Source organism: Homo sapiens, chromosome 5 (genome assembly GCF_000001405.40).
Source record: "Homo sapiens chromosome 5, GRCh38.p14 Primary Assembly".
In the NCBI taxonomy this organism is placed as follows: Eukaryota; Metazoa; Chordata; class Mammalia; order Primates; family Hominidae; genus Homo; species Homo sapiens.
In genome coordinates, this window is record NC_000005.10 from 62,923,834 (window position 1) to 62,939,705 (window position 15,872).

The following is a 15,872-nucleotide window of genomic DNA, read 5'->3' on the forward strand; positions in this document are numbered from 1 at the left end:
CTTTCACTAGAAACCCAAGTACCCTTCTGCAGTTAAAGGCCTAAGATTGTCTTTGGAGAGTCCATAGTTCTTAAAGTAAGGTATGGAGTATATATGCATTTATATCAGTGTTTCTTTCTGAGTTTGGATGTAGCTCAAGATTAAGCTTTTGCGAATTTTGGCACATTTCTTATTTCAGAGGGCAAGAGCATAGGGCAGAGTAGTAATCTAACAGAAGCTTATTGAAGGTGGGATTTATAGCAGATATATAGCCTTTCCAAGATGCCATCTTAATTAGTACTCCTAGAATAGCTAGCTATGCTTGGATTCTATGTAAGAGGTTGATATTCCCTTGTAAAACTCTCTGACCTCTTCTTGTCTTCACATTTCAATGTACTTTCACTAGTTTTTTGGTCATTTACTTTAAGCTATTTATTGCATATACCCTGTTCATGATTTAAAAGAGGACTTCATTTGGCTAATATTTCCATTTTTATAAATATAAGTCTCTGATATCATAATTTAGTCTTTGATTTGTATAGAAAAGCACAAAAGGTTCAGGCATCAAATATTCTTGAAATAACAGTTCCAATTAATTATTTGACAAACTTTAGAGCAAGCAATTAACTCATCATTCCTCAGAGAAGATCATGGTGATTCCAGTTTGTTCTCTAACAGGATACATTACATTAAACTTCTCCAGACGGTTAGAAGAGGAAAGTATCATGGTAATCCAGAGCTCCCTTAGTGAATCAAACAAATAGTTGTCTTCCTGAAGGACTTAGGTGCAATAAAAATCTGTTTGGAGAACATCAGACCGTTGAATTTTCGACAGTTTATATTAAGAACTACCTGGAAGCAGCTGCATTTTTCTATTAAAGTGATGCAATTTGCTCATTCTAACCAGGCTCTTCAACACAAAAGGCACTTTGAGATATTCTGTCCTTCAGAGTTGGTTGACTCTAAACCTGTGCCTGGTTGGTGAAATCCCACTGTCCAAAGAGGCTCCTTCACTGAGTGTCTGGTTATCTATGGTTGCTTGGCATACTACCCCCAAACATAGTGGCTTAAACCATTTTTTTTTTGGTTTTGAGGGTCGGGAATTCAGACATGGCAGAATGGGGAAGTCATGTCTTTGGTCCCAGAGCCTGGGGTCTCAGCTGGGATGATTTAAATAGATGGAGACTTGTACAGCTAGGGACTGGTATGGCATCTTTCCCTTTATGTAGTGTCGGGCTTGTCCCTATGGCCTCCTCATGTGATTCTTCTAGCATCATGGTCTTGGGGTAGCAAGACTTCTCATGCAACAGTTCAGGGTTCTGAGAGTGAGTGATCCAGAACACCAAAGTGGAGTGGCAGAGCCTTTTTCCTTCTGGTCTGGGAAGTCATTCAGCATGGCTCTGTCATATCTAGTTGGTCCCTCAGGGGCAGCCCCCATTCAGCATGGGAGGGGACCACATAAGGATGTGAATACTGGGTGGTGTGGCTCACTGGGGAAGGGGGTGGGAGCATTTTGGAGGCTGCGTCATTACCAAGGGTAGTACACCCCATTTCTTCAGTTCATGGCACTAGCTCTTCTTGGTAATAAGCTCATTTTCTCCCAGGCATCCACTCTTATCCATAGCACTGCACCCCCACTCTACCCCAACATTCTTTTTCATGGACAGGTAGAGAGACCTTAAAATCTTCTATATGACTATGACTCTTCACATTTAAAGCTTTCAGTGGCTTATTAGTGCTCTAAGGATGAAGATCTTTATTCAACAAATATTTACTGAGTGCTTAGTCTGTTTAGGCAATATTCCAGGCCTCCGGGATAACATAGTGATTAAAACTGATAGAAATTCCAGTCTTCCATAGGCATGGGAAAAGACTTCATGGCTAAAACAACAAGAGCAATTGCAACAAAAGCCAAAGTTGACAAATGGGATCTAATTAAACTAAAGAGCTTCTGCACAGCAAAAGAAACTATCATCAGAGTGAACAGGCAACCTAGAGAATGGGAGAAAATTTTTGCAATCTATCCATCTGACAAAGGGCTAATATCCAGAATCTACAAGGAACTTAAACACATTTACAAGAAAAAAACAAACAGCCTCATCAAAAAGTGGGTGAAGGATATGAACAGACAGTTCTCAAAAGAAGACAGTCATGCGGCCAAAAACATGAAAAAAAGCTCATCATCACTGGTCATTAGAAGAACGCAAATCAAAACCACAATGAGATACCGTCTCACACCAGTTAGAATGGCGATCATTAAAAAGTCAGGAAACAGCAGATGCTGGAGAGGATGTGGAGAAATAGGAATGCTTTTACACTATTGGTGGGAGTGTAAATTAGTTCATCCATTGTGGAAGACATTGTGGTGATTCCTCAAGGATCTAGAACAAGAAATACCATTTGACCCAGCAATCCCATTACTGTCTATATACCCAAAGGATTATAAATCATTCTATAAAGACACATGCACACATATGTTTATTGCAGCACTATTCACAAGAGCAAAGACTTGGAACCAACCTAAATGCCCACCAGTGATAGACTGGATAAAGAAAATGTGGCACATAGACGCCATGGAATACTATGCAGCCATAAAAAGGATGAGTTTGTGTCCTTTGCAGGGATGTGGATGAAGCTGGAAACCATAATTCTCAGCAAACTAACCCAGGAACAAAAAAACAAACACCACATGTTCTCAATCATAAGTGGGATTTGAACAATGAGAACATATGGACACAGGGAGGGGATAATTACACACTGAGGCCTGTCGGGGGGTGGGGGGCAAGGAGAGGGAGAGCATTAGGACAATTGCCTAATGCTTGAGGGACTTAAAACCTAGATGACGGGTTGATAGGTACAGCAAACCACCATGGCGCATGTATACCTATGTAACGAACCCGCATGTTCTGCACATGTATCCCAGAACTTAAATTAAAAAAAATTTGTAAATAACAAAAAAAAAAAAAAAGAAATTCCAGTCCTCGTGGAATCATGCATTCTAGTGTGTGTGTGTGTGTGTGTGTGTGTGTGTGCACGCGCGTGTGTGTTGGAAAGGAGCAGTAAATAAGTGCAAATATTTATCATGATAGAAATAAACCCGGTAAAGAAAAAGGGAAGAGCAGGCTCAGTTTTAAACAGGACAGTTAGGGAAAGCCTCAGTGAGAAGACAACAAAGATTTGAAGTAGGTGAGGGTGTGAGCCATGTGGATATTGGCAGAGGGAACAGCAAGTGCAAAAGTTCTGAGAGGGAAGCATGCCTGCCCTTCAAGGGAAGCCAGGATACTGGGTTTGGGGCATGTGGAATGAGGACAAGGGTAATGAGAGATGAAGTCAGAGATTTAACAGCAGACTAGACAGGATCTGGACTTGTAGGCCATTTTAAGAACTTTAATTTTCACTTTTGAGAAGAACAGCATTAAGGTCTGACTCATGTTTTAGAAGAATCATTCTTGGGGGGTAAAGGTAGAAATAGAAAGAACATTTATATGATTATTGCAATAACCTAGGAGAGGGAAGAGGGTGGCTTGGATCAGGATGGTATGGTAAAAAGGATGATAAGTGGCTCAGTAAAAAATATATTTTGAAGGTAGAATTGATAAGTTTTACTGATAAACTGAATGTAGGATATGAAAGAAAGAGAGGAGTCACAGATGATGTCAAGTAACTAGAACGAGTTGCCGTTTATCGAGATGAGAGAACCTATCAGTAGAACAGATTTAGAAGAGAGTTGTTTTGACATGTTTTCAACCTTAAAATAATGAGATTCAGAAAATATGATTAAGTATAGAGTCTGAGTCTAAAGCTTGAGGATGGCCACCTGGAAGCATAGATTCAAGTTGCCCTGTATATACACTCCAATTAGCAGCAGTTACAAGTGTTTTTTTTTTTTTTTTTTTTTTTTGGTTATTGTTGTTGTTTGTTTGTTTGTTTGTTTTGAGACAATGTTTCACTCTTGTTGCCCATGCTGGAGTGCAATGGCGCGATCTCGGCTCACCGCAATCTCTGCCTCCCAGACTCAAGCGATTCTCCTGCCTCAGCCTCTCCAGTAGCTGGGATTACAGGCATGCGACACCATGCCCAGCTAATTTTGTATTTTTAGTAGACACAGGGTTTCTCCATTTTGGTCAGGCTGGTCTTGAACTCCTGACCTCAGGTGATCCGCCCGCCTCAGCCTCCCAAAGTGCTGGGATTACAGGTGTAAGCCACCACACCCATCCACAAGTGGGTTAAGAAAAAAAGGAGGCCCTTTCTCAGTTGTTATCAATAATTTACATAAAATAACAAACTATTGATTGACCATACACTGTTTTTTGCATCACAAATTCCAGGAACATGAAGATAGTGGCTGAGACAGCTAGTCAGGAACAAAATGCCTTTAAACAATTTCGTGGGTGTGGGGGAACAAACGGTGGAGGGGGTGCCTGAGTCATGACTGAAGTCCCATACTCATGTCTTTCTGGGCCTGCTACATTTTGCGTATTTCATGTCATTCAGGCTGCTCTGAGCTAGTTTTGTTTTGTCATTTTAAAAATAAAAATCTTTAATATGTCCCTGAATACTGTGATGGTTAATTTTAGATGTCAATTTGACTGGATTAATGGATACCCAGATTTTTGGGTGTGTCTGTGAGGTTGTTTCCAGAGGAGCTGGCATTTAATCAGTGAACTGAGAAGGGAAGATCCACCTTCACCCATTGTGGGCAGGCTCAGTAGAATCAGGGAGGGCCGAGTAGAACAAAAAGTCAGAGGAAAGGTGAACTTTCCCCTCTGGCCTGAATGCTCTCCCTATCCCCTTTTTCCCTGCAACTAGTTAATCCCTAGTCCTTTAAGATTCATCTCAACTATTATTTTCTGAAAGAAGCCTTCCTGATCTCTTTAGATATGGGTTCCTATAGCACCCTGTCAGGCCTCTGAGCCCAAGCTAAGCCATCATATCCCCTGTGACCTGAATGTATACATCCAGATGGCCTGAAGCAACTGAAGATCCACAAAATAAGTGAAAATAGTCTTAACTGATGACATTCCACCATTGTGATTTGTTCCTGCCCCACCCTAACTGATATGATATATTCTGCCCCACCCTTAAGAAGGTACTTCGTAATATTCTCTCCACCCTTAAGAAGGTGCTTTGTATGCCTATCCCAAACCTATAAGAACTAATGATAATCCCACAACCCTTTGCTGACTCCTTTTTCGGACTCAGCCCCCCTGCACCCAGGTGAAATAAACAGCCTTGTTGCTCACACAAAGCCTGTTGGTGAACTCTCTTCACATGCATGCATGTGACACACCCTGTAAGGAAGGGATAAGTTTGCTTAATGTCTGCAGGTACTCTCTGCAAGCATGTACGCTATGTAGGGAGAAGGACCCCTTCACAGCTGCCCACCCCAATGTCTCCAATGCCTGCTTGGGGCCTGGAACCTGGCAGTGCTCAATAATCATTTTAATAATCTCCATTCATTCAAAGATTATGACATAACTACTCCTTATTTTATTCTTTCTAACAGACTGACTCAAACTACTTCCTTAATACAGAATGTTCAGGAGGATAGAGATTCAGCTGACAGTTCTGGAAATTCTCTTGAATGCCTGAGGATTCTTTCTTACTATCAGCAAGGCCATATTATATTTGTATTAGACTTGTGTAGGAATTTTCTCCATTTGAAAACACACTCAAGTGTTGAGTGGCAGGTCAGTCAGCAAAGAGAGAATGTCATGTACTTCCCACTTTCCCACCCTTTGGGCTGCCATCATTCCCTAGAGTCTTACATTTCCCCAGTATGGCAGCCCTTATGTCAGACTTCTGAAGCACTTATGCTCTTTCAATGAGAGGAGATGCTGCTTCACTGCTAGTGAAATGCCATTTCAATTCCTTGCTACCTTTCATGGAGAAGATTTGTAGATGTGACTTCAACACAGAAAGTGAGAAAGGAAACTGAAGTGTCTGAGAGGTAGAAGACAGTTTGTTACCAGCACTAGCTCACTGGCTTACTCCCTAGCTGTTCCGATGAAACACATTCAGCAAAGCATGCCGAAGCACAGGGAAAGAACAAGTCTATAATGAGGCTGATAATGCTAGATGAGCATGGCATTTGGGGCAACTTATTTTTAGTTACCTGTAGTTTAGATTTAATTGTTGTCAATATATCAAGTTTATCTTTATTAAATAGTATAGTGCAATTTTCTGGAACTAGCAAGTGAAATATTTGGGGACATGGCTTTTGTCCTGAAAACCTGTCTAGAAATCTTCATGGGCATTTTAAATTAACACTATAGCATTAGCCAGATATAAATCCTCTTGTGAAGATAAGCTAGAGATCAAGGTCCCCTTTGCCTGCTTTAAAGAGTTGGAGTGTGACAGCAAGGACCTATTCTCAGTAAATCAGTAAGTGCACAGTGATTGTCACTGGAGTCTCCTCCAATGCCAAGGCACCTTGAGGACAGTCCCCTCCCTAATGTTTTGTGATTCCTACCCTTCTCTTACCTGAGATTCCTGGAGATATTAACATCTCATTTCTAATTTTGTAATGAAAGCTTCCATTCTTTGCACAGGGACATTGAATGTCACGGGTTATTAATGTAGCATTTTGGGGGGTAGGGTGTAATGGCCCCTCTTACTCCAGAAATCCTCCGGGAAACAGGTAGGCAAGTTTCTACATAAGTTAAGGTAGGTCTAGGAGACGGTTCTTCATCTCTTACCTTTTCAATTTTCTCTTGAGCCGATCATTCAACTTCTGATTCCTCTGTGCTTTGCTGACTCCACCCAGCAGCACACGTGTCAGCTTTTCTCTTCCAGTTAGAGTCAGTGCCAGGAAAACTTGTGAAGAAAGATCTATCCTTCTGGATGTATTCGCACAAATTATTTTGGTTGTAGGTGATTGAAACTAGTAGCAGTGGCACGATCTTGGCTCACCGCAACCTCCACCTCCCAGGTTCAAGTGATTCTCGTGCCTCAGCCTCCCAAGTAGCTAGGATTACAGGCATCTGCCACCACACCTGCTAATTTTTGTATTTTTAGTAGAGATAGGGTTTCTCCATGTTGGCCAGGGTGGTCTCGAACTCCCGACCTCAGGTGATCCGCCCACCTTGGCATCCCAAAGTGTTGGGATTATGGGTGTGAGCCACCACCCCTGGCCCAAACTAACTTTAAAAGGGAATTTATTGGTTTATTTAACCAGAGAGTCAAAAGGAAGGTATACCAGGTACAACTGATGGCATCCAGGGTTTCAAATAATGGGGTCAGGTTCCTGTCACACTGCATTCAGATCTGGGATCTGCAAGCCATCATTTCACACGGCTTCCAATCTCTGGATGGGACAGGCTCCCTCTTTCCCTCCCAGTGTGTGTATCTAAAAAGAACTTGCACTCCAGGGGTCAGAATATTTTGATTAGTCAGCTCAGATCATATTCCTGCTTCTGTGGTTGGGGAGGTAAGATTCTGTGACATTTTCACCCAAGTCACATGGGTGGTGCAGTCCCCCAGAGGAAGAAATTCAGAGACAACTGTGTAATGATGATGTCTGCAATACTGCCCTCACCACATGCTGCATAAGGTTTACCCTGCTGGGGAGGAGTTTTTATTCATCAGAATCTATTTCTATTCATCGCCACGGGGTGGTTCTTTTCCACCCAACAGCCTAACTCTGCTGCTCCCAAGGGCAGAACAAGGACAGATAGGTGGATGTTTCAGGGAAGTAAAGTTCAGCTAAATATAAGGCAGAACTTTTACTAGACTTTTTAGAAGAGTCAAAAAAGGTATTGTCTTAAAAATGGTGGCTTCTGTGTCACTGGTTTTTAAGCAAGTGCCTGCTGTCCACATGTAGAATATATTTTTTAGAGATGATTTGTATAATAGGGAGTAGTAGAAACAAATGACCAGCACTTCTGACTCCATATGAAAAGTGTTCCTCTCTGAGCATGCCCAGGTGTACAAACACACTTGCTTAACAGGTTTGAAGCGTAGGTCAGATAAACAGGTAGGGCCTGACACACAACTTTTTTGTTAAGTTTTTAATTATTGTCTCTTAAAAGGTTCTTAAGATGGTTTTTCTCTCTCATAAAATTTTTTATGCACATAAAAGACTGAACTATTTTTAGCTTTATACATTACATGTAAAGGTTTTACCTTGAAATAGATTTTCATTTATTTATTCAGCCTTCAGATTTTCCTTATATTGACTCATTTCTTTAGTAAAATATAATATATAATAATTTGACCGATGAATTTTCTGATCGACTCTAATATTTTTATAAATACATTCTCATCTTTAATGTGAACATTATCAAAAAGTTATGAAGTTTTCTTTAAGGTTATAGTCTCCAATTATTTTTCATGAGTTAAAACATAAAAATAGATTTTTATGTTAGAGATTTCACTTGCAAGATGAGAAGTTTTATGTAAATGGCTGTATTAAATATTTATTTTGTAATATCAAAACCATATATTTTGAGTATTTGGGGTTTTATTTGGCAACGAGAACAAAAATAGTGATTAAAACAATAAAATTAAAATCCTTAAAGGTTTGTGATGTATCAGCCTTTAAAGATTTAGAGCTTGGGTACTGGATTCAGGTACCTGGGTTCAAATCAAATGCATTTTCTAGCTGTGTGACTTAGGAAGGCTGATGACTTTTTCATGCTTCCATTTCCAACTATGTAGAATGTTAACAATAGAAGTGCCTGCTTTTCAGAACTGCGGTGAGTTTAAAAGAGAGAATGCAGGTAAAGTCCATGGCATAACACCTATCACATAGTAACAACCCAGCAAACATCTAGCTCTTTTAATATTATTTTCTGCTTAATAACCTCCAGAGACATAAAGCACTGTACAGAGGAAAAGTGTACTAGCTCTGCCAGTCATCAACAAATAGCAATTTTAGTTGTTCACGGTCATTGCATTTTGTTTTTGACCCTGATCTTTTGCTTTGTGTGAACTTTATTTTGAGGTGAGTTGAAGCGTTAACTTCTTCATGTTTAATAAGTGCAACAGTTGTTAGTGTTAAATGCCCTTGTATGAAGGTTATGATTCTGACTGAAACTAAAGTGGAGAAAAATTTGAATCATAAGTGGGATAAGAAATGTTACATGTTGGAGATGCATGTGAGATAAACTCTTCAATTGTGGCAGTGATTCAGAAGGCAAAGACTGTCTCATGAACCATGGAAAATGTATGATGTCCTTCAAAAAGAGACAAGGGCAAGTGATCAAATAGCCCTAAAATATGTGGCTAGATTATAGAAAATGAAAATTAGATGCTAGGACTAATCCAAGGCAGTGTTTAAAAAAACAACTGAATCTGGGTAGGTGTGAAGGGGCTGCCAATGTGAGGTGGCAATGATAGTGCCTGCTGCCTGTCAGCTGAGTGCTAGGGGCTCTGACACTGTCTGAGAACTGAAAACTGAGCACAGGAAAGAGCTGCTGCTAAAAAGTTGTACAAAAAAGGCTTATAAAGGCTTATTATTAAAAACATCATTTATTTTTAAATTAATGGGAGTTAATTAGTATACCTTCCTAGGTGCCAAGGGGTTCCCTCTAAAACTGCCTCAACGGATGAAACTGGTCACTTATGGAAAAAGTAAAAAAAACAACAACAGATTATATATCACCAAGGGGAGGACAGACACGACTGGCTTTAATGCATCAAAGAATTAATTTGTACTCTTACTTTGAGGAAATGTGTCTGGGAACCGCAAACTTAAATCTCTCTTCTTTTGAAGTTAACATACCTACAGAGTTAATTAAAAAACAACATTTCAGAGTCTAACCTGCCTTGAAGAAGAGAAGCTTCTGTGTGAGCAGTTCTGCTCACACAGAAATTTATTTAGGAAATACCCTTTGGAATTATTTCTATATAACTAAAAATGACATGGAAAATATAATTTTTGAAATTAACTTGAAACTCAAATTAACTTGAAACACTACAGAGTTCAAACCTTCTTGCTTGGTCATAGGATGTGAAGGAAAAGTTTTCATGCTAGAATTAATTTCCGTGGCCCTTTCTCACAAGATAATAGCTAAAATACAACGTGTTTTGTACTATTTAATTTTATTCTTCCCACCTGTTAAAAGCTTTTTTTTGTGTGTTATGAAATAAACAGCTTTTCAAAAAGATTCTCAAATTTCCTCAAGTGCTCTGTATGTCAAATGTACTAACAATTATCATCTTTTCTTTAAGTGGTTCAGTCTTTTCAGGAGTAAGAGTTATGGTACTGAAGCATACAAAACACACTCAATAATAGCACAACATGATGGGGAGAGGCAAATGGGTCATTGTAAAACACCTCAATTTTCCTTTTTCCTTTTTATGAACTATAACTTAAAACAGTAAAAAATGGATCATTTTATAATGCTGATATAAAACCAGGTGAACAAGTAGACAAATTAAAGGGTAATGCCATACTTTACATGTTGTAATAAAAATTCAACAACTTATCACGAATCTGAGGTAAAAGTCACCATTATTTAAAAATAACTATCATAATGATTGGAAACCCAATTCTTCTTGCTCTGTGAGGCCTGCTGCTCAGGTGTCTGCTGTTAATTGATCTGCCTGGATGCACTCACAGAGGAGCCACTTCATTTGGGTACCACTGTCTCCCACTGGGCATGTTCACATCTGCCAGGCAACACTGCTCCTCTTGCTCAGTGCTGCTGTACCCCACTGGTGCCAGGCTGATGCTGTGTTCCTGGAGCCCTGCACTTTGTTCCATGTAGAAATGAGGAATATGTTCCATGTTGGTACTGACGTCATCACAGTTTGCTTCCACTGTCTTACTGATTTTTAACTAAAACAGCTGCCAGCTTTTATGCCCAGACAGCTCTCCCATCCCACCCCACCTTCAACAGGTCTCTAACACATATTCACTAGAAGCTAAGTCTTCACATGGGTACTGCTGATCTCTTCCCCATAGATCATTGTTTCTAATGTGACTTCTTTTGACTGTGTTTGACTCAGCATGAATAGCATACAATTCAAGGTTTACTTATTCTTTTAGGATCAAAACACATAGAAGGAATATCTATTTTGGGGGTCCTGGGTTTGGAAAATGTAATTGGCTTTTCAGTTGGGTTCTTTTACTTGTGAGTAGTAGTCTGAAAATTCATAAACAAAAATATTACTTCACATTCATTATTGGATATAAGATAAATTATTAATTGAGTCAACTAAGTTCAGATTAATAAGATTTACCTTGTTTAACTCATTTGGAAAATTGAGCCATTAGTACCTACCGCAAGGCTGGGCACAGTGGCTCACTCCTGTAATCCCAGCATTTTGGGAGGCCGAGGCAGGAGGATCACTTGAGCCCAGGAGTTTGAGACCAGCCTGGGCAACACAGTGAGACCCAAGACTCTACAAAACAAATTACCTACCTCAAATATTTTTCTTGAGGGTCCCATTAGCACATGTTAAAATGTCTTACAGTTGGAGTGCCCCTTCCCCTTTCTTTACGTAAATCTTTGATGTGAATGTGAGGTATGCAGCCATTCAGAGGCCATGCAGCAAAGCAGATGACAGCCCAGTCTCTGAAGCAGATATGTGCTTGAATTCTGCTTCTTTATTTAATATCTGTGTGTCCTTGAGCAACTTAACCTCTTCATTCCAGTGTTCAAAGTGTAAATAGGAATAATAATCGTGGTATCTACCTCACAGGGTTCTTGTGAGAACTGAATGAATTTGAAATTTGTCAACAGCTTAAAACAGCACCTGGCTTATGGTAATCCCTCAATAAATGTTAGCTACTATTGCTAGTATATGCCAGTCTATTCATTTTATTTCACAGAGACAACTTCCCATTTGATAGCCAAACTGGGAAATATTGAAATGATTTAGATTGGTAGGTTTCAAACATGAGCCTCTATCAGAATCACCTAGAGGGCTTGTTATGAGCAGATTGTGGGAAATTCTCATTCTCAGAATTTCTTATTGTGGTGTGGGGTTGAGAGGGCTTGGTGAGAATTTTCATTTCTAAGAAGTTTCTGTCGAATGCTGGTGCTGTTTGTTAGGACCATATTTACAAGGTTCTTGGCCAGCAACCTAGACCACATGGGAGTGCAGGGCAGCGAGAGGTCAGCAGGTTGTTAGTAGGTCTTAGCCAACTGTGCTGGAGCTCAGAGAAGGCCTCTATGTCACACGGAGGAATTGGAGGGCAAATTCAGAGAGAATAGTCATGAGCTGGGAGAAAGGGGTGCACAGCTCAGTGGGTGCCCCAGGCTTTGGGGTAGGGATGCAGGATTCTAACAGCTACCAAATGCAGCAAGCAGCTGAGCGAGCAGGTTGGCTGTATCAGTGCCTGAAATTGAGCACAGCCAGGGAAGACAGTATGACAAGTAACATACTTCTTCATAGCTATGCTTTTTTTTTTCCTCACATTTTTTTCTCCTAAAAACAGAGTGTATCTTACAATTAAATGTAGTGGTTCCCACCTCCACAAAAAGTGGTATTGTGTTGATATTGGTGTCTTAAGATTATCTTAGAATCAAAGAAATTAAGTCCTTTAGCCTTAATTTCACTTATCAAATCTCTTTTTGAATCTTTTTTCCTCCCTCTCTTTAATTTGATTACTAGTGCTTTGTGCCTTAGAGAACAATGACTTTTTTTTAAACAGTGAATTTGCTTAATTTGGCTCTCTAAAAGATACAAGGTTGAATTGTGCCTGGCATTCCTTAGTTGGTGCCATCTAAAGTCACAAATTTAACAAGATAAGGGACATTCATACAACTCTGGAACAATTTGTTAGGACTGAAGCATGAAGCAGAAATATCATCATGTCTTTCCATATCAATATTAATGTTGCAAGGTTGAAAAGAATAAAGGCTTGTTGAGATTTCTAAATTGAATAAATACGGGATGCAGAGAGGAAATGTGTTTATGCCATTCCAAGTGTCATTTATAAAATGATCTCATACACATGAGAAATGCTTTTAAATCAACAGATAGCATACTTACATAGGTGTGCTTCTAAACCTAGTGGCAATATATTTGAGAAAAATCTTTTAATATTAAGGAGCTCCAGATATCTGCTCTGGGTGGCACAAGGCCCCTCCCTTCATTTTTACCTTCTTCCTTTTACTATCAGGTCCCTCTCAAGTAACAGAATGCAAGCATTAATACACCAAGGGAGACAACGACCCATGATGTGGAGCCATTTATTTAATTTGATTATACTAATGCAGCAAAATAACTACTTGAGCGAGTGTTAGTGAAATAGTAGCATTTTTTGCATTAAAGATATACCACAGAATGAATAGTATCTGTCTGTCTGTCTATCTGTCATCTGTCTATCCTGTGTAACTTGTGCCAAAATTTATGTCTTATTGCAACTCTTCTTTTATGTGATGATGGTGGTAGTAAGATGCTGTGATAGAAATATTTTTGCCATGCATTAGAAAGCAATGAACTAAAAAAAAGAACTATATTTATACTTTTCAGAGCAGTAGTAAAGTTATATTGCTTTAGTTTTTGTTGGGGAGTTTTTTTTCCAATGTAATTACAGAGCTTAGAACTTGGTAAGATAGGTAAGAAAGGTTTTTCAATGATGTTGAAATGACACTTGTGTTGTTGGCATTATCAAGCAATGCAGAGGCCACCCAGTGTTGTCACTTAGTGCCTTATTAACACTTCTGGAAATGACTTTAAACACTCAAAAGCTTCCTTTTAAGTAAATGTGAAATGGTAATATAAAGTTGCCATGGAAGTTTCATAATTAAAATTTTGAAGGCTGTACTGATGCTTCTGCAGTGTGTCCTGAGATTTATTGGTAGGTTTGCTACTGTTTCTAAACTATGTTCTGAGATTTCATGGTGGTATTTCTCTAATTGCATAGCAAGTTGGGGTAAGCCTTTCTGTCCTGGTAGTGTCACAGAAATGGGCAAAGAATCAAGATCCAAGATCCTTTTCCAAATCTCTTGCTTTATCAGTCATGAACTTTGTTCAGCTGCTAGTAATAGAGACCTGAATTTAGCAGCTGGAAAGGTTGTTTTCATTTCATGTAACAGGAACTCTGAAGTAGGCAGTTACTGGTTTTGGTTTAGTGGCTCAAGAATGTCCTGGCCAAAGTCTCTACATTCTTTTGGTATTCCCTCATGATCAAGAGGCGCTGGACCTTTAGCTATCATATTTGCTTTCCAGTTAACAGGAAAAACGAAGTGCAGAGGGGCAAAAAGAGCTTTCTCAGAAGCTCCAGCAAGAGCTTTTGCTTATTTTTCATAGGCTTATCTCTGTCTTCAAAGGAGATTGGGAAATGGAGTTTTTCAGATGGACTTTTAACCCAGGGTTCTACTGATAAGGAATAAGTTGTCAGATACTTTCCACCACATTGATTGACTCCCAAAGTGGTTTCAGTCCCTAAGAGACTATGTGAGAATCTCTGTATTCTGGCCTAATCTCTTCTTCAGCACACTACACCTCAGTCCCATCTACTTGGGCTTCCCTGCCTTTGTTCACATCACCCACTATTTTAGTTTGGATTGTCCCAGAAGCAGGCCCTAAGACAAAGTACGGAATGCAAGTGGTTTATTTGGGAAGCACAGTAGGGAAGTAGGGAAGGGAAATAGAGAGGGGAAGGCAGCCAATACAGATTGTGCCCTCAAGCCAGCTACCACTATGGGCAATCAGAGCTTAATTGCATGGGGATCACATCCTGGGGTTGTCTCACCAAAAGTGAAGGAAATGAGGCATTTATATACCAGCTATTGTCAGCCATTGGTTGTTTCCTGCCACTGTTAATTCCTTGGCCCTTTAGATCTGCCATGCCCAGGCAAAGTAGCCTTCCTGGACTTCTGAGAAAGCCTTTAGGCAAAGACAGTCAGATTCTGGCCATTGGAAGTCATTGAGTGATAAGGTCCAAGAGGTGTGAGTAGGTACCTACAGCATCTGCTCCACCCACCCTGATTGTAAATGTCCTTTCCTTATTTCTGTTGGTCTGAGGAACACCCACAGATTTTCATAACCCTATGAAAGAAGGAGGAGTTACTTCCTTGATATGTTATTTTGCTACTGCTGTGTGACAAATTACGATGAATTTAGTGGCTTAAAACTATGCCCATTTATTACCTCACAGTTCTGTAGGTTAGAAGTCTGGGTAGGTTTGGCTGAGTTTTATGCTCAGGGTATCAAAATGCTGAAATCAAGGTGTCTAGGCTGTTTTAGCTGGAGGCTCTGGGAAAGAATCTGTTGCCGGCTCTTTCAGTTTATTGGTAGAATTCAGTTCTTTGTGGTTATGGGACTGACGTTCTCATTTGCTTGCTGATTTTCAGCAGGGGCTGCCCTCAGCTCCTAGAGGCTCCCGCATTCCTTCCCATGTGGCTCCCTTCATCTTCAAACCAGCAATGACATGTTGCATTGCTCTCATGTTTGGCATTTCTCTGACTTCCTCTTCTGCCACAAGCCAGAGAAAGCTCTCTGCTGATTAGATCTGGCTCCTTTGGATAATCTTCCTATCTCAGGGCAGCTGTGCCATATAACATAATTTAATTATGGGAGCTATAGATGATCAAAATTACAGGTTCTAGGGATTAGGATATAGAATTTTGGGGAAATTTTTAGAATTTTGCCTACTACACTAAGCTCTTTTCCGGTAAAACCTCTCTACCTTTCTCTGTTCGCTTTGCTCCCACGCCCCAAATATAATTGGTACTTTTGCCTTCAAGTTCTTATTGTACTCTGTCCTTTTATCGGAGGACATAGAACTTATTATTGTGCTAATTATTATTCTGAAAGGCAAGTTTAAGAATCATGCAGTGAGGATTTGAATATGATCTTGAGTGGTAAGACTTAGTGCTGATTGCTAAACTCTCCAAGTTTCAACTTTTTTAAAAACTATAAAATTACCTTGCTGGGTTATGAAATTTAAATTTAAATACAAATATGCACAAAACCATCCACACTGACTACAG